General features: G+C 35.8%; 1 long non-coding RNA gene across 1 annotated transcript, besides 1 other annotated feature; it reads right to left on the reverse strand.

Annotated features, from left to right (window-relative positions):
* Positions 1-336: 336 nt before the first annotated feature.
* Positions 337-15,721, reverse strand: LINC01708 (long intergenic non-protein coding RNA 1708). Its single transcript, NR_125951.2, has 3 exons — positions 15,662-15,721; positions 8,031-8,154; positions 337-566 (listed from the first exon to the last, which is right to left on the reverse strand). It is a non-coding gene; the product is annotated as a long intergenic non-protein coding RNA 1708 (long non-coding RNA).
* Positions 16,237-16,437: a silencer, noted in NCBI's record as "peak335 fragment used in MPRA reporter construct". NCBI's record gives its function as "represses an SCP1 promoter by STARR-seq MPRAs in K562 erythroleukemia cells {active_cell/tissue: K562}" and the evidence as "EXISTENCE:reporter gene assay evidence [ECO:0000049][PMID:32103011]".

Raw genomic sequence — 23,683 nt, forward strand, 5'->3', positions numbered from 1 at the left:
GTTATCCACCTGTTTTGCTCACTGAAGCAGCTAGTCTATTCCCATTTCCCTTTCCTTTGGGGAAAAGCTGTAGTTTGATAAATGCTAAGCCTCTACCATGATCCTGTGCATGAAGGAAATAAAAGGCTGGCTAGAAATTGCCTGGATTCTTCAATCTGGGTCAAGCTTTGTGATAAAGCTTATGCCATAAGCCAAATGGCTATTTTTGTAATGATAATTCTTGGAAGGTAGAGGGCAGGGAGGCAGGGAGGTGGCAAACTCAGCAACTAGTCATGATCGTTACAATTCAAAGATGTAAAGACCTTTCTGACCAACACATTTATCCATTCAGTTCACAGTTCCAGGTGGAGGATGTGCTTGGAGGGGTCGACACTTGAGGAGTTGTGCAGACCTAGCTATCTTCATGGTAGCTTGATGGGACATCTATTGTTTATGTCAATAATTTATGAACCCAGTGTATTTGAAACTAAGGGAGAACTTCATATCTTATCAGTTGATATCCTCCAGTTTCAGAGTGTTGTGTTAGCCAGTTCAGAATGTGTCTACCATCAGCTTCTTGTTTTCATCTGGAAATCAGAAGAAATTTTATTTATGTCAACATTTACCTTTGGCCAGTTTCTAGGTCAAAGTTGTTAACTTTGTCAAAAATACCAGTTCATGTCCATTTTAATTCCTTTTTAAAATGTCTTTTTAATATATCTAATGAAATAAAATCATCCACCTTTAAATTATTAGTATCACAGTATTCATTACAAGTACCTTTAGTATAAAAATGAATTATTATTATGTCCAATAGTATAGATCTTACAACATGCATGTAAAAGCTTAAATATCTCCCAAGCAGATCAAGCTCATTGTGGTCCAAACCAAACCCAAAATATGTTTTTCAACTAGTTTTTCTTGATCCATAATTTCGTTTCGTCTATCTTATTTCTTACGCTAGAGGTTTATAAATCGTCCTCACTTTTCCCTCTCTATCTCACATTCCTCACCACAACATTAGTCATCAGGGTCCACTGATGCAATTGTCCAAAATCTCTTCATTATAAACTTCTCACCATCCTTCCTGCCACAAGCTTGTTCAGTTAAAATCATAAGACCTACTAGCTGGTCCTCCCAATCCTCTTTGTCACTTGTCTAATTTATTCTCTAACCTGCAAGCAAAGTTAATCTTAGGAAATCTCAAATCTTTTATTTCACTCCCTACTTAAAATTCTTTTATGGTTTTCTCCATCACTTATGATCATTGTTTAATGTGAGCTGGTAGGCCCGGCGTGACCTGAACCCTGTCTCCTCTTTGCCTCTGCACCAGCCATTTATCCCCTCACTTTCATGTCTTTGGCCACACTGATTGGCCTAAGCTCTTATCCACCTCAGGACATTTCCACACATTGTTCATTGCCTGGATCACCCTTTAATTTTAACTAAGCTAACTAACTTTAATTTATCCTATAGATAACAGCTAAAATGTTATTCATTCAGGGAATAATTTCCTCCCCATCCATCCTAACCATAAATATACTTTTAATTAGGCCCCACAGCTCTGCTTCCAAAGTATCCACAATTATTCCTTCATAGGTCAATTCACAATGGTAATAACTTGTTTAATATTTGTGTTCCTTGCTATAATGACAGCAGGTAAACTTAATCCACCAATCCAGATGTGTAAGAAATAAGGCACTGTCATGTTGTTGGGTTTTTTTCTAAATTAACTTAAATCTAATCCCTGCTTAATCAGTTTAAATCTAAATCCCACCAATCTGGAGAGAGTTTTAATCCCAGTGATTACTGGGCTCTACCTCTCCCATTTGCTTAGTGCCATGAAAAATCTGAGTGGTATGTCTTATTCTGTCCTAAAGCACTGCACTACAGAGGTCCATCCTGTTCGTGGTTCTCACTGGTTACTTCAGAGAAGCCCATTTTCCATTCTCATATGGTCTTTTCTAGCACCTATCAGCTCTGTACTATGCTTGGGGTCTGGGAATGTTCACTGGGAGTGGGAATTCCATGGCTTGAGAGCAGCCTCTCTGGATGTACTTCTAGTTTGCCATTGCCCAAAGATGCTGCCAAGGAAACAGGGCAGGGCTATTCTACTTGTGGGCCCAGCAGCCTCTGCCCCCACCCCAGTCTGAAGCCTCTCCAACCTTCCTTGGTGACCCTGAAGATGACACTCCTATTCTTGCTTCTCCATTTGCAGTGAGTACAGTCTTTTGGAAAAGCAGAAAGGTTGCTTTCAAAAAGTTTCTACTTTCCATTCTGCAAACGTCTTTGAAGCAAAAAACAAAAGTTATCTGCTTAAACTAAGAAGGAACAGAAAAATACAGCAGGAAAAAAAAAACAAATGAATGTCTAGAGACAATTCATGTGGGCAGAACTAGCTCATATAATGTGCCCAACATATATGTATATTGAAAGAATGACTGGATTTGAATTAACTCACAATCCTATTAATGTGTTTTACATGTCTTTGCATGTGTTGACAGGCCTGCATAAATGAATAGAGAATTTTATAGAGAAGGAGAAAGAGAAATCTGACCTGATATTTATGGCCAGCAGAAGAGCAGCCTTTCTGCTTTTTGTCCTGCCTATCATATGACCACATCTAGCTTTAGCTCCATGTCAGCTGTGTACTGCAGACACCACCACCATCGGCTTGGCAAAATAAGAGAAAAATAAATATTCTCTCCATATGACATGAATCCCAGTATGCCTTTTCCACAGGCTAATAATAGTCTGTCTTCCCCTATAAGGTGGACAGGGAGTGTAAATGATTGATTGCAAGGTAGAACAAGACTGTATTTGACCTTTTACCACATGTGAAGTAGAATTGAGAGTTTTAGGTACACTCAGAGTTTAAATCAAGCAAGCTCTAATAGAATCACACACTACAGTGTTTAGATAACCTTCCTTTCGAATAGAAAAAACATTTCCACTTCTCCATTCCAAAGCTGAGGTACATTTTGAAAAATGAGAGATCTATTAGCCTTCTTTATAAAGGGGAAAGAGGAAGAGAAAAAGGTTTTCGGCTGGATTTCTTCTTATTTTTGCAGGAGACATCCAGCAATTGTGCTGTGCTTACAGAAATTTCATGCGACTCTCTAAGGCTACATATTGTCTAATATATGGTTGATACTTAAGAATATCAAATAAAAAACACCGCTTCCTAGGAACTGGGCTCTCTTTCAACTTGAATATTTGGATTTTGCAAAATGTATTTATACCTCCCGGCGCTGAAGTCGATCTGGACTTCAGCAAGTTACCTGTCCTATGGAACTGGCTCTTTTAAGAACAAGCCCCTGGCTCCAGGAAGCACATTTGCTCAAATGTAAGCGGGCTGCAATTGAAGCAATTTGCTCCCTAACCACCTTGTAACAATCTTGTTTCTGATTCTGTGTTCCTTCTCCAGCTCCCCTCCTGCTTTGGCCCTGAAGATTGAGGGACCATTTTATCTGCACTTCAGAAATCCTTTTCATATCCTATTCCTGGCTAGGATGCTGCCTCCTAGACCACTAATTCCATGGACCGTTAATCTGTTAAAGTATTCTCCATCTTGCAACAGACTCATATTTGGCTTTCACAGATACTTCTGACCGCTCATGGCCCCATTTTAAATGAGCCTTAGCCCCATTCCTAAACTGCCTGGATCAGGTTGCTTCATCTCAGAATTTGAATCTTTATCAAAGAATTCTGGTGTTGTATTTCTAGTTGTAAAAGAATCCCAGGATAGCAAGACACAAGACTTGCCCAAGATAGATACCCAGGCCATCATTCCTATCTAATTCATTTCAATCATTGGGAAAGCTAAGTTCTTAAACCAAGATATTCAGCCTTCTTTAAGCAGACTCCTTCATTTAATAGTTGAGGTAGCGAAGTATCATTCTTTTGCGGCACAAACTCCAAAGACCAGCAGGAAAAAATGCTGATATCCTTTTATTCTAAGGATATAGAATACAAGTTATTTAGGTGCTCAGCGAGACATATGCATCCAGAAGCATTAGATTGAATGACACAGTCAACACACGGAGGCACATCTCCACTCTCCTCAACATAAGGAAGCATGATTTCTGGTGTTATAGAAGCTGTTTCTTGACACATTATTGCAGGGAAATGCCCCTGAATTGCAGTTACCAAGTGAAAGCCACATCACATAAGCTATCTGACAAATGAGGAGAAAATCAGGTCACAGAGCATTATTGGAGAGAAAAATAACGTCAAAGTACTCAACCATAAAATTATAGCTGAGAATGCTGTCATAAGTCAGCACCTCTAATGGAAACAGCAAGGCTAGCAATTGTTGCTCAGGTACCTGAGAGGCAATGTTCTACAAGAGCGATGGTCACCCAGAACATCAGTGCTCTCTTTCAGTTGGCTGGTCCCCAGCCTCACCTTCTTCTACCCAATTTGGACCACCTGACCCCACCTTTAGCTTCAGGACTGTTACATCATCAGAAACCAAGCCTAGACTCAGCAATGAGGACTTTAAGAAATTCGTGAGCAATATTTGGATGTGACACTCATTCCAGGCCTGACCTCACTTCATAAGATGCACATTCATAATTGTATCTGGATATTTTTCTTCTGCTCACTCAAATTTTACAGTCTGGATTTTGAAACCAGATGGGTTTAAGTTTTTTCACTGAGGAAATTGTAATATCTGACTTCTTGCCTATAAAGTGGAGATAAAATATTTACTTGCAGAGTTGTTATGAGCATTCACTGAGATGATAAATGTGAATGGGTCTAGCATAGGGTCTAACACATGGTAAGTGCTAAGCTTGCTGCTTTTTAAAATTCCCATACTACAATTCTTCAGTTTCTTTTTCTGTTTTCAGTCTGATGTCTTACTTGTTGACATTATCAATGGCTCATCTCAAAAATTATAATTCTAATTTTTTTTAATTTTACTTCTAAAATTATTTTAGTTTTAATTAAGTATATATTCTTCTAGATGTGCACTCTAATACAGTAGCCACTAGACACATGTGGCTATTTAAATATAAATTTTAATTATTTATTTTAAGTAATATTTAAAAATTCAGTTCCTCCATTGTACTAGCCACATTTCAAGTGCCCTGTGGCCATGTGTGGCCAGTGGCTATTATATTGGATAAAACAAATACAGAATATTGTCATCATGGCAAAAGTTCTGTTTGACAGCTCTGGAAGAGACAAAATCTAAGGAATTTGCTAATATACGCTATTACTTTTCTCTGAACATTTAGTTACATTTTCCTTAATGTATCAACAAATGAGACAGGAAGTTCTAGCCAGAGCAATCGGCAAGAGAAAGAAATAAAAGGCATTCAATAGGAAAAGAAAAAGTCAACTATCTCTCTTCATTGATGGTATTATTCTATATCTAGAAAACCCCAAAGATTCTGCCAAAAGGCTACATGAACTGGTAAATTATTTTAGTACAATTTCAGAGTACAAAATCTATGTAACATATCTATACACCAATAATGTCCAGGTTCAAAGTCAAATCAAAAACATGATCACATTTACAATAACCACAAAGAAAATGAAATACCTAGGAATACAGCTAACCAAGGAAGTGAAAGATCTCTATAAGGAGAACTACAAAACACTGCTGAAAGAAATCAGAGATGATACAAATAAATGGAAAAGCATTCCATGCTCATCAATGTCATTAAAATGGTAATACTGCACAAAACAACACTGGAGAGAGATTTAGTGATTTAACACTATTCTTATCAAATTACCAATGTCATTCCTGATAGAATTAGAAAAAACTATTCTAAAATCTATATGGAACCAAAAAAAAAAGCCCCAATAGCCAAAGCAATCCTAAGCAAAATGTACAAAGCCAGAGACATCACACTACTTGACTTCAAACTACACTATAATGATATAATAACCAGAATAGCATGGTATTGGTACAAAAACAGACACATAAACCAGTGGAACACAATAGAAAACTTAGAAATAAAGCCATACACTTACAACCATCTGATCTTTAATAAGGCAAACAAAAACAAGCAATGGGAAAAGTCCTCATTATTCAATAGTGATGAAATAACTGGCTAGTCATATGTAGAAGAATGAAACTGGACATTTAACTTTTACTATATACAAAAATTAACTACAGATGGTTAAAGTTTTAAGTGTAAGACACCAAACTATAAAAATCCTAGAAGAAAACCTAGGAAATACCCTTCTGAACATCAGTCTTGGCAAATAATTTTTGGCTAAGTTACCAAAAGCAATAGCAATAAAAACAAAAATTGACAAGTGGAATCCAATTAAACTTAAGAGATTCTGAACAGCAAAATAAACTATCAATAGAGTAAACAGACAACCTACAGAATGGGAGAAAATATTTGCAAACTATGCATCTAACAACAGTCTAAGATCCAGAATCTATAGGAACTTAAACAAAAAACAAATAACCCCATTTTTCAAAAATGAGTGAAGGACATGAACAGACACTACTCAAAAGAAGATATACAAGTGGCCAACAAACGTATGAAAAAATGCTCATTCTCACTAATCGCCAGAGAAGTGTAAATCAAAACCACAATGAGCTACCATCTCATACCAGTCGAAATGTCTATTATCAAGAAGTCAAAAAACAACAGATGCTAGTGAGCTTGTAGAGAAAAGGGAATGTTTATACCATTGGTGGGATTGTAAATTAGTTCAGCCATTGTGGAAAGCAGTTTAGAGATTTCTCAAAGAACTTAAAACAGAGCTACCATTCGACCCAGCAATCTCATTACTGAGATATACCCAAAGGAAAATAGATCATTATGCCAAAAAGACACATGCACTCTTATGTTCATCAATGCACTATTTATAATAGCAAAGACATAGAATCAACCTAGGTGTCCAACAATGGTGGATTGGATAAAGAAAATGTGGTACATGTACACCATGGAATATTATGCAGCCATAAAAAGGAATGAAATCATTTCCTCTGCAGCACCATGGATGGAGCTAAAGGCCATAATCCTAAGCGAACTAATGCAGGAACGGAAAACCAAATACTACATGTTCTCACGTACAAGTGGGAGCTAAACATTGAGCACACATGAACATAAACATGGGAATAACAAACACTATAGACTACTAAAGAGGGGAGAGACAGAGGGAGGCATGGGTTGAAAAACTACCTATTGGGTACTATGCTCACTACTTGAGTGCAATAAACCAACATAACAAACCTGCACATGTACCCCCTGTATCTAAAATAAAAGTTGAATTTTTTAAAATGAGACAGATGGTCCAGAGGCCATCTGCTTCTACAACTCACGTTTTTAAACTAAAAATTGTTCATACTTCCTGTGGTCATATGAATAATAAAATTTTCAGTTTTCAGTCTTCTATTCTCAGTTTAGGAAACCAGTGTATAAGAGGAATTAACCTGGGACTTAACCGACCTTTAGAAATGTAAATCACATTCAATATCCTTGGAAGATTTTCAAATATTTCCCGTCAAAAATTTAAGAGTGAACTAAATCTTCCCAAAGATTGGGTCTCAGAATAGTGCCAATGTCTGATACTTTAGGTCCAATTTAATAGAATCCATATTGACTCAGAATAAATCTCTCTTTGTTCCAAACTATTTAAATTATATGATTCTTTGATACTTTGAAGTGCAGCAGAGTAGACAAAGCACTCACAGGTTTCCCAACTTTTACTGCTGGTATCTTTCTGTTGTACCTCCAAAAGGTCATGTACTGACCTTCAAAAAATCTTTCCCTTTTACTTATCTGGGAACCCTTTCTCCAGAGCAGTCGCCAGCTTAGAGTGCAAATCTACCCCATTTAATGGAGAAGATGGTGTGGCATGAAATATAATATTTGCCATTATTCACTATTAGTTCATTCAATCAGCAAATATTATTGAGTACCTGATATATACCAGACCCTTGGCTAAATACTGGGGATATGGCGATAAACAAAATAAACATGACCCTTCTTCTATGGTGCTTAGGGATTAATATAATAGCTCAGTTGGACTTAGATGAATAAAATTATATGACATTTTAAGTTGTTTTATTTTCTTACCTTCAGACTAACTGATTTGTTCTTCTGTAGCCATGTTCAGAGGAAGGAACACTGTTCTACAAGCATCTTCATATTCAAGCTGAAATTACATTCTCCAAAGCCACCCAATCCTGGTCTTACTTATCTAGACACAAATTTGGGCTAAGTCAGCAAGATGGCAAATATCTCATAAACTATCAGTAATTAATTGGTATAGGTATCTGAATTATTCTGAGAAGCTGTACTGAGAAGGACACTGAGGCTACATTTAGTGAGACTGGAGAAAATATTGTGGTCTATTAGCAATATCTTTCCATGAGCTCAATAAATTAGAGTATGACAAATATGCTCAGTTATTTGCATTACCTGGGGGAAAACTCGGAGGTGACGTGGAGAGGTGTAATTCCAGATTAGGAAAGCAGGCAAGGGCCAAGACATAGAAACATGGAAAAGTATGACTTGTTCCCCAAAAGGCAAGTGGTCCAGGTGAATGGAATGCAGGATGGGTAGAGATATGAGAAAAGGGCCAGCGAGGATGTGTGGGCCCAGACTATGGATGACCTTGAATGCCCGGCATCAAGTTTAGATGATTTGTCTGTGAAATTCTCATGTGGTTACCAATCTTTGGTGATTCCCAATCTGAATCAAAGTCACATTCTTTCTGCTATTGGTTTTTCTATAATAAAAAGCTCTCTTTCTCCTCTAAACTTCCTTCTAACCAAGGCATCTGTTCACACATAAATTATCTCATTATCGTTAAAGTTAACATTCTTAAAATTCAACTCTAAATTGGATGGGCTCTATATTTACAGAGAACTAAATTTCAGAATAACCAATAAAACAAGGTGAGTTATGTAATTAGATTGCTGACATAAAGTCCTACCCAAGCTGTTTATGAGAACTATGTTAAGATAGATACATATAGCTCAGCATGTGTTTTTCTTACTCAAAGTAAAGATGAATATATATTTAGTGCACAAAGGATAGAATAATAAAACTATACTAAAAAATCCTGTTCTTTCCAAATGTTTAATTTCTAGTTTCTATGACATAAATGCCTAAATATTCCCTGAATGATTATGCAAAAATAAAATAAAATCTCTTTTTTCCCCCACCAACGTATCTATGTATATGTGTGTGTACATGTGTGTATGTGTGTGTAGGCTAAAGATAAGACAGTAGAAACTAGCTATGAAATTACCAGTGAACAATTTACTGCAACATCTAACATAGCATTCTTATAACTAAAATTACTTAATGTACTAAAGAGTTAAGTTATATAATGCCTACAATTTATATAGTGGAGGTCTCTTCATCTTTTAAAAGGTATACACTGTATGAAGAGGATAATAGTACTTATAGATTTCAAATTGAAAGGCAAATGAAAAAAGAGACTCATGGAAAAAATAATGGCTCAAATGTATTCTGTCAAAGAATAGTCTCAGGATAGAGAATGCAGTCCAAAGAACTGAATATTTGTCTATCTCTGCCCCCTTGTGGTGGTATGTGCCTCTCAGGTAAGATAAGCAAATTTTTGCAGAAGGAAATCAAACACTTCAGGTTTGAAAACAGACATAAGAAAGAGTAAAAATAGAAGTAAATTATTACATTTAACACAGAACAGAATAATTTTACTTCCATCAGTATGTGTATACTTAATAAAATATCTGTGGTTAAATTTTAGGAGCTACTGGACCAGAATAGTTATAAATGTGAAATGCTAAATTAGCCTGAGACAGAAACAAACAGCAAAATTATGGTTAATTTTTATTTTAGATCTTCAAAGTGTTGTAGTGGTAATTATATAGAGATATGTTTTACCCAGAAACTGTGTAGGATTATATGACATATGTTATTCAACCACAATGATGAATGTGTATTGAAGACCTTCTATATGATGGGCACTTGATTAGATCTCAGGGAAAAAAAAGTCAGTACAGTCCTTGACCTCATGGATTCTATGCTTTATGAGGAAAAGAAGACAAGCTACAGATAATCACAATAAAAAATTACAATCTCAAGGTAATGTGTGAAGGAAGAGAATATGGTTCTCTTATATATATTTATTATTCTATTAATAATATTAAATATTAATATATTTATTTATTAGAGCTAATAAAAGAAATAGATCTAGTGTGGGAGGCTAAAATGAAGGAAAGAGTGAGAGAGGCTGTGAATATATGGGAATTGTCTGTAGTTTCTGCTCAATTATGCTGTGAACCTAAAGCTGCTCTAAAAAATAAAGTCTATTTTTAATCAAGGAAGAAAAGCAAGAGGGAAAAAGAGGCACAGCGTGCTGGGATAGGCAGGAGGAGGGGTGCACTAGAAGGTATACAAACAAAGCTCTGGGCAAAACAGTGGCAGAGCACATTCCAGGGCCTTACAGTCAGTGCCTGGAGCCCAGAGAGGGAGAAAGGTGTCCCAGGAGCATGGAAAGGTGTTCAGAAGCCAAAGCTTGCACAACCATCTAGGTCATATAATGAATTTAGGTCTTTAGGAGTAATAGGGAACTACTGAAAGCTTTCAAAGAGTCGGGCAATATAGTCTGTATTTTAGAAATATATTTTAAATATTTTTAAATAAAATCTTAAATGAGGATAAGAGAACACCAAATAATATACGACTTTAATTAAATGTCTGATATGGTTTGGCTCTGTGTCCCCACTCAAATTTCATCTTGTAGTTCCCATGATTCCCACGTGTTGTGGGAGGTACCCAGTGGGAGATAATTGAATCACAGGAGTGTGTGTTTCCTGTGCTGTTCTCGTGATAGTGACTAGGTCTCACGAGATCTGATGGTTTTAAAAATGGGAGTCTTTCCACACAAGCTCTCTCTCTTTGCCTGTTGCCATCCATGTAAGATGTGACTTGCTCCTCATTCCCTTCTGCCATGATTGTGAGGCTTCCCCAACACGTGGAACTGTGAGTTCTCTATTAAACCTCTTTCCTTTGTAAATTGCCCAGTCTTCAGTATGTCTTTATCAGCAGCATGAAAACAGACTAATACAATGTTGGTTCATACATGTAGTGAATGCTTACTAGGTGACAACCTTTGTTCTAAGCTTTGCAGTTTAAAAATGTAATGTTCCCAATTCCATAATGTAGACAATAGACTATTATAGGAGTTTCAACAAAACTTGGACTAGAACCAGGGTAATGGAAATGAATGGACATTTGAAAAACGTCTAGAATAACCAGTGACGGGTTGATTCCTTGTTTCTGGCTTATGCTACTGGATGGATGGTGGCCATATCCTAAATAGAGAATTCTATGGCTCACGCCTGTAATCCCAGAACTTTGGGATGCCAAGATGGGTGGATCATTTGAGGTCAGGAGTTTGAGACCAGCCTGGCCAATATGGTGAAACCCCATATCTACTAAAAATAGAAAAATTAGCTGGGCGTGGTGGCAGGTGCCTGTACTCCCAGCTACTTGGAGGCTGAGGCAGGAGAATCTCTTGAACCCAGAGGTAGAGGTTGCAATGAACTGAGATCATACCAATGCACTCCAGCCTGGGCAATAGAGCGTGACTCTGTCTCAAAAAAAAAAAAAAAAAAAAAAAAAAAAAAAAAGAATGCTAAAAGGAACTAAAGTTTGGAGAGTTCAGATAGCAGGGACCAGAAGAGAAGAATATACCTACATTCAGTCTTGGAAACACTGAATTTGAAGAATTTCTGAGACACCTAAAAGCAGGTATGGGCCAGGTCGAGGAAAGAAGAAAACGTCAAGTCAGAGCAGCTTAAGAAACCTTGGTTAAAAAAGAATAAATGGCTATCACTTAAGAAGACAGCTGATCATCTCAGGGGGAAGAGAAACTTCAATTTCACAGAAGAAATTATGGAAACTGGAGAAGTTGGAAGTTTGGGAAATTTGCTGGTGGCAAATAAGCAGCGAAAAATCACTAAAAATCAGTTCACCACATGGCTTATTTCCTGAAAACCAACCCATCAAACATAGTGACTTAATAAAAATAATCTTATAAATTTTAAGAGAAATATTTTGATTTGATGACTGAATATAAAACAGTACATATGTCATAAGTAAAATTTTAAGTTTCATGTAGAAATTACTCATTTATACTGATTTTTATTCCTTTTAAAATTTCATTTTTTATTGAGCCAACCTTTTAGCATTCATCTGTTTTCATTTACAGTATTTTTAATCTATTTATGTTTTATCCATTTTTTTTGTATCTTTTTCATTTGGTCCATTGTGGTCTTTTTTTTCTTTTTTTATGTGCTTTCATAGAGAATCATTTGCAAATTACTGCCAACCAAGTCAAGAGACCTTAATTGTTCCTTGATAAAAATCACATTTTTAGTTTCATGTGAGATGTGATGGTTTAAACTAATTCTGATTCTTTTGAATGAATTTAAATTTTAATTCTAAATTTTATTTAATTAAAATTTTTCTTTCATTAAACTTCAATTTAAAATTCTGATTTATTTTAGTGCCTGTGAATTTAAATTTAAAGTTCAATCTCCTAATTAAAGTTTAATTTCATCTTAAACTATAAATGCTAGAGATATAAAAGGAAAGCTGGTATGCCATTTGAGGAAGTTGCAGAAGAATAAGGAAAATGCATAAAGTTTACCAAAATAGGAAACGACATTCAGAGATAACTGAAACCATATCTGAGGTAGACAAGAAGTCTCATTACATGTAAAATAACCCCCTCAAAAAAAAAAAAACTGAAAAACAGCTTTTCCTTTGAGAAATTTTAAAAATAAATACTGATTCTTTAGCATTTACAGATTTTTTTGGCCAGGTTCTCAGGTTGGGTTTAACCTTAAAAAGTTAATATCCAGAAAATCATATTTCATCATTGGGTACCAAATTTAAACATCCTAATCACTTTATTACAACTATTTGGGATGAATTGATAAATCTGGTAAATTTGGTGAATCTGTTCATTTGGCAAATGACCATTCAGTGAACTGGTCCTTTAGCAGATATATTTTTAAATTAGGAAGGATCCAATTCACTGTCATAAAAACCAGCTTTCCTTTCTCAAGGCTCTCACAGTCTAGAAGGGGAGATGAATAGGCAAAGGCTTAGAAACTTTTTATAAATATTTAGAAAGGAGCCAAGTGCAGAGCTCTATAGTAGCATAGGAGGGAGGGTAGGTGAGCAGCCAGCTTGACCTCAGGAAACACTTCCCAAGATTCACACTGGTAATGATAATATAGTTATTATTGAAAGAGTTTTCCAACCCATAAAGGAAGAAAAAGACATCATTTCTCAAAGCATGAAAGGGCATGCTATTTTCTGAGAATGGCAAATAATGTTGCATCAGCTTCTGATGCACAGAAGGCATGAATAATGGCAATTGGTAGTAAATGATGATTGAAAAAAAAAGCCTATCACATGCATTTAGGAAGTATATTTAGGAAATAAAATTTTACATTAATTAACAAGACTTAGAACTTGATTGCATTTAGGGGATGAATGAAAAAGCAGATCCCAAGATGATGTGTAATTTCTAATTTGGACAAATAGACAAATTCCTGAGACAGAGGAGCTCAGAGGGACAAATGTTAGAAGGAAAGATTTTAGAGGGAGAGATTATAAGTACAATTTTAGATATGTTACATTTGAGGTGCTTATGTGGGATCTAAATTTAGGATCTCAACTTGAAATTGATGAAATGAATATGGAATTCAAAAGACATGTGTAGATGAGATTTTTTTAAAAACTAGGAATTAGTAGCATATATAGCAATTGAAACTGTAGGAGTAAATGATATTATAAGCAGAATATTTAATGTAAAAAAAAAAAGAAAATTTTAGGGACAGAACCCTGAAGGACACTAGCATTCAAGGACCTGTCAGAAGAAAGAGTCCCCAAAGTTAGACGGAGAAAGAGTGGCTAGAAAAGTAGTGTGGTATGTAACAAACTCTCCTCTAGTGTTTTGGGGAAGAGAGAGTGGTACAGAACTAAATATTTCAGAAAGGTTGAATGATAATCCAAACCAGGAAGCCTCCACTGGATGTGTTACTAGAAAATAGAGGCATTTCATTGGAGTGGTGAGAGCAGAGGGCTTAAAGAGTGAAGGTGAGGAAGTTGAGACAGAAAATGAAGATAATGAAGAAGGAAGCCAAGTTTCATGGAATGGTTTTTCTCAAGATTGTAGGGATATGTGCACATTTAAATGCAGATAAAAAGTGAAAAGAGAATGAGAGAGTTTGAAGATATTCTTGCGTTTTGAGCAAACTGCTTAATTTTTCTCCTCCCAATTCTTTAATCTGAAATATGGGGATATAAAACAATGCCTACATCATGAGATCTAATTGTATAATCCATGCAGGGCTTTGCATATTACCTGGTATATGCTAATCACTTAATAAATACTGGCTAATATTAAATAGCAGAAAGAATAGTATTGGAACAGGAGTAAGGGAAGAGAATGTGAATTTGGATCCATGTCTGTGTATAGATTCAGCATTGGGAGATGTACAGAGTTTCAATCTCATAACCACTATCTCTGTGTCAAGAAAGAGGGGTAGTGGATGCAGAAGTTTCTGAAGGGAATTAAAAGGATTGTATTTGTCATATCTATATGAAGAAGGAAGGAAGGGAATAGACTAAAATTTATCATATATTTTATGAGTCATGCATTAAAATAAGTGCTTTGTTTATATTATCTCATTTAGTTCTCAAAGTAAAGTAGTTATTATTTCCATTTCACAGGTACACAAGCTGAGGTTTCTGTATCAAAGTATTCTGTGGTAACAATGGACTCAAACAATGACTCAACATGGAATAAGTTTATTTCTTGCTCTCCAAACAGTCTAGGAGAGTAACAGGGCTCTTTCTACATAGTCACTGAAGAACTCAAGTCGATAAAATGCTCTGCCACTTTCAACAATATGGCTTCCAAGCTTGGCACAGTCTTCTCCAGCCAAGTGGAAACTAGGAAGGGTTTTTTTTTTTTTTTAATCTTCGTTGTTGTATTTGGCTTATTTGTTTGTTCATTGGCCAGAAAAATGATATGGGCCAGACATGGAAGAAATACCCATAAGTTCTGTTCATATTCTCTGACTAGAAATTAGCCACATGCTACAGGTAACGGTCTCTGCCAGTGTGTTTATTTGTTTGAGGAAGCTTGAGAGCAGGGAAGAAGATTAGGAGTTTATTTTAGAAACATTGCATTAAAGTTTATATGTTCAAGTGAAATATTACCTATAGAGGTACAGCTTAAGAGAGAACCTCAATGGCGTTTTGAGGAGAACCCTGAGGTGTAAAGCAAATAAGACCATCCAGCACTGAAATAAGTAAGGTTGTCAAAAAAGATATTATAGTAGCCATAGAATTGCAACATTTCCACAGACAGCACTAAGAGAATCCCTACCTACTACTTAAAATTTAGTAAGGATAAAATGGGAAAATAGGCCCCAAAATTGTTAAGCAAATACACTAAATTACCCTTCCAAAAACTACAGTAAAGAAAGAAGAAGTAAGAATGGGTAATAATTGATAATACTGTGTGGTTTTCTTCAATCTTATTTTATTTTCTGTCAGTAAAAGCATTTGCTATGCAACTAAATGACATGTAGTAAATGAGACAATATTGCTCAAACTTATGTGGGCTATTTAGTAACCAAAAAAAAATTATTGATGCTGCTGGCAACAAGTTGATAATCTATACTTACTTTTTCTATTGTGTGTGAATCATTTTTCTAATACATGTTCATGCCATATCTCTGTTAACTCTGTAAGCAAAAATGTAAAGCAAGTTAACAAACATTCCAACAACCAAACCCGTAGCCTTAATGGGAATAATGCACAACCCAACAAAATCATAACAATTCTTGTAGAACAAACTCCTCCATGAATATCAGATATAGTAAAAAGAGCAAAAGATCTAGATTCTTGCTCTAGCCATGTAAACATCTGAATAATTTGAGTAAAGTCACTTTTCTTTGAAGGGCTTCCGTTCTTCTATCAGTAAAATGACTCAAGTTGAAACTAGATTAGATTGAATTTACCAAACATTTATTGAACATCTATTGTTAAACCCTGTGCCAAGTACTGGGGGTATAGAGATATTTATGATACAATCCCTGTGTTAAGCTTTTCAACAAAAGTTATTTCTTTCCTGGGCATATGGATAACTAAACTTTCACTCTTACTGTCAAAAGATAAAACCCTATTATTAGTTCTGCTCAATGAAATGTGAATAGCATATGTCTGTGTAGTCCACACTGAGCCAGTAGAAGCCCCTACTCACTTTCTACTCCTTCTGCCATGGAAATATAAGAACAGTCCTTGTATTGAGAAGGTAGAGCCTCAAGTTTGAGGTTGCCTAGATCCCTGAGTCACTGAACAGACGAACACACAGCTGTCCTTGAGAGTTGCCCAGATCTGCGACAGATTCTTGCATCAGTGAGATGTAAACTTTTTTTCTGATAACTAGCATTAACTGCAATAGAGCCTATCACATCTTGACAAAAGAGGCTAGTTAGGAGGCAGACATATGCAAGGTGGTATGCATTTCACTAAGGGAAAAATAAAGTGCATTTAGCAGAGAAAATGAAAAGTAATCTATTATTTCTAAAGATGTCGGGGAAGGTATCATAAATTTAGAATGAGTGTGGCAGTTTAACGAAGCAACTGGAATATAACATTGAGACACAAGAAAGACAGTCAAGGATGGAACCTTGGGGTACACTAACATCTAAGATTTAGATAAAGGCAAGTTAATAAAGAAAACTGAAAAGAGAAGACAAAGGAGCAGAAAGAAATGGTATTCTGGAAACCCAGAAAGGAAAACATTCCAAGAGGAGTCAGAAATTGTCTGTAATGTCAATTGTTGGGAAGTCATGATCTGAAAAGAGACCATTGGATTCAAAATTATGAAAACTTTAAAGATGATATGCAGACTCTAGTGAATGGGAGACAAAAAGGTGGCAAAATATGCTTATAGTAAACACACAATAGCATTTACCAAAGTGTGTTTTGGAAAACATTTACTGCACAAAATTCTCCCCAAAAAGATGGAGGGAGTTGACTGCCGAATACATTTGAGACATGCTGCTGCATACTATATACCTATGAGGGATTTTAAAAATCTATTTGTGATTTCTCACCTTGGGAGATAAGGAAAGGAAAAACAAAAAGTATTATTTGCTTACAAACTCACAATGTCAAGTCAAGAAAACAAAGTAACCTCCTGGGACTTCTCCACAAGTGTTGACCAATAAAGTTTAGTTTCTAGTAGCACTAAATTTTGTTTCACTAAGAAAAACAAAAGCCCTTGAATGTGGACAAATTAGGCTAAATTTTTTAATTAGGTATGTCTTGAAAATAAAAGAATCCATAAAGTATGTTTTCCCTTCTCACAAAGCACATTTGTGGTTTGCTAGCCTGAGCGCAATTACAAGCTTCGGCCGATTTTTGCAACTTTCCTTTTCTCTAATTTGTAAAATGGAGATAAGAATAACACAGATTTCAAAGAGTTGTTTTGAAGAGTCAGTGAGAGAAAACATGAAAGCACTTAGAATATTGCCTGACATATAGGGAATGCTCAATAAATATGAACTATGACCATTATTAAACTTTTCATATCTCCTTCAGCATCAAGCTGGCACACAGCAGAACGCAAATCATCTGGGCTCCCTGATGAAGTGTTGCTATTGACCCTTGGCAGTCAATGTACCATCCATGCATAATTTACACACTAATAATCAAGAGTTGACAGAGGAACTATTATATTTGGTTACTTCAGTTTCAAGTGGAGATATCTGAACTTGAGAACTGTCAATCTAGCCATGATTTTCACAGAACTATCCTTGTGGTATTTGATCATTTAATCCACCTAATTGCATGAAAATAGAATAATTTAATGCATATTCCTAATTGGGATTCACACCTAAACAAACCCACATGTTCCTAAATGAGTGTGCGGTGAGTCTGTGCTTTTCTGTCATTACTCCAACCATTGCATTAAATTGTTAAGAAACCTATTTTCTGAAAGGAAACTATAGGAAAATATCTAGCCATTTTCTTAATTAAAGAGCAATTCTTTAAATCTTATTGTGATTTCAAAACTTTAACATAAAGTCTTCTGCTCTGAGGAAAATTATATATGTCAGGCTGCCAAAGAATTCCCTCCCCAAGAATTTGCACCATGTGATCATGTGGGCTGTGAGCATTCTGAACGCTCTCCGCTCAAATCTCCCAGACAGAGCACTGCCTCTTCCTCCCACACAGTTTGGGGTTTGGGTTTGTTTTTTTGTTGTTGTTTTTTTTTCCCAAAAAAAAAAGACATGAGAATTTAACTCATTTTTACTTTTAATGTCAGACTCATTCTGAGGCTATATACAGAATCCAGCATCAGCACAGAAAAAGTCATTTGAGTTTCCTCTTCCTCATATTGAAATAAAAATAAATATCTAAAATTATCCATAACACGTAGTTTTAAATTACGTAGATGTAAAACCCTTGCTCTGAAAGCAGCACTGAATTCCCCTCAGAATGTCTTTAGAGGTGGGTTTTTATATGTCTGCCATCTGAGTTTTTTATACCCGCATCCTTAGAAGGCGTTTTATAGATTACCCTGTCTGTCCAGCAAGAAGTCCACATTAGCTTGTGGTAACTGCACTACCATAAGGAGAGCAATCAGCATTACCTCATTGCTATCTTCTGCCTCTTCAGAATTCACAGACTCTTCATCCCTCTTCTGGCAACTTCAAAGACAAAAAGTAGGCAAACTATCCACCTCTATTTCTATAATTCTACCACATGTCTTTGCTTGCCAGGATACAAGAGGGTATTTTAGAAGACAAACATTGTGTCAATCCAGTACTCTATTGTCATTTTGTAATGTTTTCATATTGCCATTGCATTCTTCCACCTGGCCACACCACACATAGTTAACTAAGCTTCTTTTGTACTAACTTCATAGACACAAACCCAGTTACTATAAAGAATAGAGTAAGATCAATCATGTGCACCTGACTCTTCCCGTCACTGCCTTCACTCTGCCAATTCCTCACTATTCTTCGTCTCCTTAAGTATAACTTACTCAGGGAGACTTTCTCTCTACCCTCCTTCCTCTCCCAACACACACCTGTCTAGATCAGGTCCTTCTATACCACGTTCTGAGAAACATCCTAATTCTTCTTTTTCTTTGTGGCATTTGAAATGACTGTAATTTTAGGGTGATCTGTATAATTGTTTTTTAGTGTTTCTCTCTCCTAGACTGTTTACATGTCCACGATTACTGCTCAATAAGTGTTTGTTGCATGAATGAATCCTTGTGGGTAACATCTTTTATTAAAGAAACAAGTCTGATGAGATTATAGTCATGTTCAGATTTCTGTTATCAAACTGAGGAAGAAATAGAAATAGACCATTATCACTTTGGCATTTAGAAAAGCATTTAATCTAACCGTAATTCATTTCATGAGTCTGGCCCTTTAAAATTTAAAATATAGCAAATAAACAAACAATGATATTACCTTATCCTTGGGAACACTATTTTTCCCCTGTTATAGTTTTCTATAACTGACACAGAACATTAAAATGTGGTATCTGCTTTTTCAGCAAATCATTTAATATACAAAGTACCATTGCAAAATAGCCTATTGAGGAGGATAAAAATTTACTACCAACTTCATTTGGCCTCCCTGACCAATCGCCTCTAATGGCTACTCTGTGTTATCTTCCCCATGTTCTCTGCTGTTTATGTCTTTCCTGCTGCCTCTTTCGCTGCTCGGCTTCCTCTCTGTGCTTCACGCATTTTACCACTGGCATGCAATCCACTGAAGGATGTTCCCGCAGAGATTTTCCACTCCGTGGAGGAGTCAGAGATTCACCATTAACCCCAAACTGGCCTACTGGCATTTACAGAACTGTCCAATAATGTCCCTCCTCCCTTCTCATCAGCTGGTGTATGCTTGGAAAATACAAGCAATTATGATATTGTCCTGAGGTAAACATAATTAGGAATCAAATCATTAGAGAAAAAAATCCACCATAATGCTTTTTAAGCCAAATATAAATGATTTATTAAAAGCAATCTATATTCGTTTGTCAGACTGATTTCCAGAACTGAAAATCTCATTTAATATTTCTATCCTTACCTAAAATGGTACTTAAAAGGTTATTTGAAATGTTATTTGTGATTACTAACTCTTATGGTCTTGCAGAAATCAAAATACCACAGACAAATATAGGCAAGGGTAACAAGGCAGCTGTAAATGTTTTTCCTCTAAACAGATTCTCAAAAGTTCTTTTTACTGAAAAAAAAAATCAACCACGCAAATGAGCTCTGCTAGGAAATATTAATAAATCTGCATGCAAAATTTGATCCAGTAAATATTAGGTGCCTGGTATGTATGGCACTGGCAAAATGCAGAGATAAATAAATCCTCAAACTCTCTGTCCCTCAGTATCTTCATTTGCAAAATGGTAATAACAATAGTACTTACCTCAAGTACGTGTTGTAAGGATTAAAGGAGTTAACACATATGAACACTTAGGGGTGGGCCTGGCACCTAGTAAGTGTTCAAGAATGTTAGCTGTAATTTTTATTATTTACAATGATGAAGAAGTTTTAGCCGGGCATGGGAGATTTAAATGTAAACATAAAAATATGGACCCCACTGTGGTTGTTCCAGATGTTTTTAGTATTTTTTAAACCTCACTTGCCTTGAAAATGCATCTATATGAGTAGCACCTCCACCATAAGTCTGATCAACATTGGACATCTCAGAGACTTGAAACCAAACCAATAAAATAAGGGCTAATAGTACCTTTTCATTCCCTCCACTCATTTCCAGAGAAAACCGGGAAGATAGTTCTTTCTGTGGGAGACCCAAGTTTCCAGCTCAGGCTAATGCCTGGATATCTTCTTGAATATTCTAAAGTGAACCTAAAAGACATCAGATAAACCCTGAAATATAATTTATTTGTTTCATTTGGTTGTGTGTGTGTCTTCTGAAATCTATAAAATGGGGATAATTACACAAAATGACAATATATAATAATATATAATGCTGTGAGCCAGACCTTGCTACAAGAAATTTCCATATATTAACTCATTTAATTCTCACTATAACCAATTATTGTTCTCAATTTACAAATGAAGAAGCTAAGGCACAGAGTAGCTGCTCATATAGATGTATCTTGCCCAACGTCACACAATTAATTAGCCAGGATTTGAAACTAGTAATGCTCTTAACTACAATATTATACTGGTCCCTACTCAGCACTTACATTATAAATTATGCCTATACCAAAATTTCTGATATGTCAAGACCAAAAGCTCCAGGAGCTCCTTAGAGGAGCACAAAGAACATTGGCTTTGTCCTGTTTAACAAAGTCTGTGTGGTTCCTATAACTAGGGTCACCATACATCTAATTCTGCCTGGGACAGTCCAGGTTTGTACCTGTTTCCCCAGTGAAAATTATAAATAGCACCCCCTTTCACCTTCAACAGTAATGTAAATTATATGTCTGATCTTTAACTTAATAGTTCCAAATGTGAGAAATGAGTTTGTATGTGTGTATATACACATATACACACATATGTTGCCGCCTGAGATTTTGAATCATTTACCCTTAAAATGCTTTGCTACTTTTTCTTGCACAGATTTCTATCTCAAAAATAAAATCAGAATATTCACTCAGCAAAAGAGTGGAGGGGGTATAAAGGAGTAACAGGCCCTGACACCTATGACACAAAGTATTGGTAATAATTCTGACTAGAACTCAGCTTATTCTCCCGTTGTCCTGCTTAGTTCATGAACTATTGTTGAAGTTGTTTTGTAAAATGCATTTGAATGTATCTTTGACAAACATACTGTTAGTCACTTTTCATTGTTTTGTAATCTCCAAATTGATATGTTCACTTGCTTGATCGTTGAAAGAGGAGCATCCTATTTTCATTCATGGGGTTTCCTTGAGGTTTCATTGAGGTTTCAAACTTTCATGCATTTGTTAGGGTATGTATAAAGTAACAGATTGTTTTCCCTGCTACACTTTCACCATTTCTTGTCCTGATTCAGTTGTCTTTGATGCTGCTTTGTTTTATGAATTTAGTTTGCCTTCTCTCAATCCAAGAAAAAAAAAAGAAGTAGAAGAAAGAAAAGAAACAATTACATCACCTTTATATGCTTTCTGGGTATCTTCCTTCCACTTATCATTTCTTCAAAAATGGAGTGACTCTCTTGACATGGACTATAAGTAGATATCTGACTGGAATGCCCCTTGTGCCTTCTCCCTCTGGTGAAATATTACCTATCATTCCAAGCCCACATTAAATATCTTCTCTTCTGTGAACCCGCTAGACAGAATTAACTGATACACCATCTGTGATGCTGCAGTTTTGTTTATCCTATATTATGATTTTACCTTCATCTGTCACTTCCCTCGGTTGTGAGCTCAATCACAGAGCAAGAATTTTTTTTATATCCCTCCCTTGGGTCTAGCACAAGGTCTGGTATATATGGTACTTAATAAATATTTGATGAATTAATAGCATTTTATAGTATACAAAGTTATTTCAAACCTATTAGCTCATCCTAGCTCTATAGCAATTTTATGAAGTATAAGATTATGTTGTTTAGACTTATAAAATATAACATTATGAACATCTCCATTTCATAGATGGGAAAACTGAGAAATCCCAGAAGGTAAAGGGTATGGGAAGAGGGGTATAAGCCACTGTATAGGTTCCTAACTCATTAGATTTATTCAAATAATACATCATTTAGTCTTCAAGGGCAATAACGATCATTTTGATTTGAGAAGAACTATTTGATTTGACAATCTTTTCTAGTGTCCAGAGAAGCTTCTGGAAATTGTGTTTCTGGTTTTTCTTTATAGTATCAGTTATCAGAACTACTATGAGCTTTGCTGTGAAAACTTCATCTGACACAAAATGTGCATGACACAGCCTGAACTTTCAAAATTGCACAAGTCAAAGAAGATAGGCCTTGAAATTACATTTCCTGAGTAGGTTTTCCATTACTTTTAGAATGGCCTCCAGGGTAAACCTGCCTCCACAGAGTAGACTTTAGCCAATCTTTATCATGGTGGCCCACCAGGAAATTTCCATGTGGCAACAGGCCACAGCTAAAGTAACATGGGTAGGACTGCTCTCAAACTGCTGAAACATTGCCTGAGTGTCCTTTTGTGTAGTCCAGACCCTTTCATCCTAAATTATCTGCTTTTTTTTTTTCTAAGGAGTTCAGACTGCCGGAAAAGTTCATTAACATAAAATATCATTTACATTTAACCCCTGAACAAGAAAAGTGATTTGAATTTATATGTATATATGTGCACTACTAAAATCATTTTTAGCTCATGAACATAAAATTAATTAAATATATGGGCAAAAGAAACAAGATCAGCAAATTGAATCTAAATTGCAATGTGCCATAGTAAAAAAAGCTCAAAACTCAGACAAGCCAGGAGTACCTGTTCTTTTAACCAGCATTGATTAAGTACCTATTATAGAATAGCCACTGTGTTACATGTCAGAGATTCAGTACTAGGTGAAACAGATAATGTCCCTGATCTCACAAAGCTTTTAGTCTCATGGGAAAGTCAGATTCTGAACATGTAATTACAGTGAAGTACAAATGCTAAGGTTCACTTATACTTCAGTTAAGGGAGGCCTGAGGAAAGGATGTTTTAGCTGATACTGAGGGATAAATAGGTGAGTT

The sequence above is a fragment of the Homo sapiens genome, chromosome 1 (genome assembly GCF_000001405.40).
Source record: "Homo sapiens chromosome 1, GRCh38.p14 Primary Assembly".
In the NCBI taxonomy this organism is placed as follows: Eukaryota; Metazoa; Chordata; class Mammalia; order Primates; family Hominidae; genus Homo; species Homo sapiens.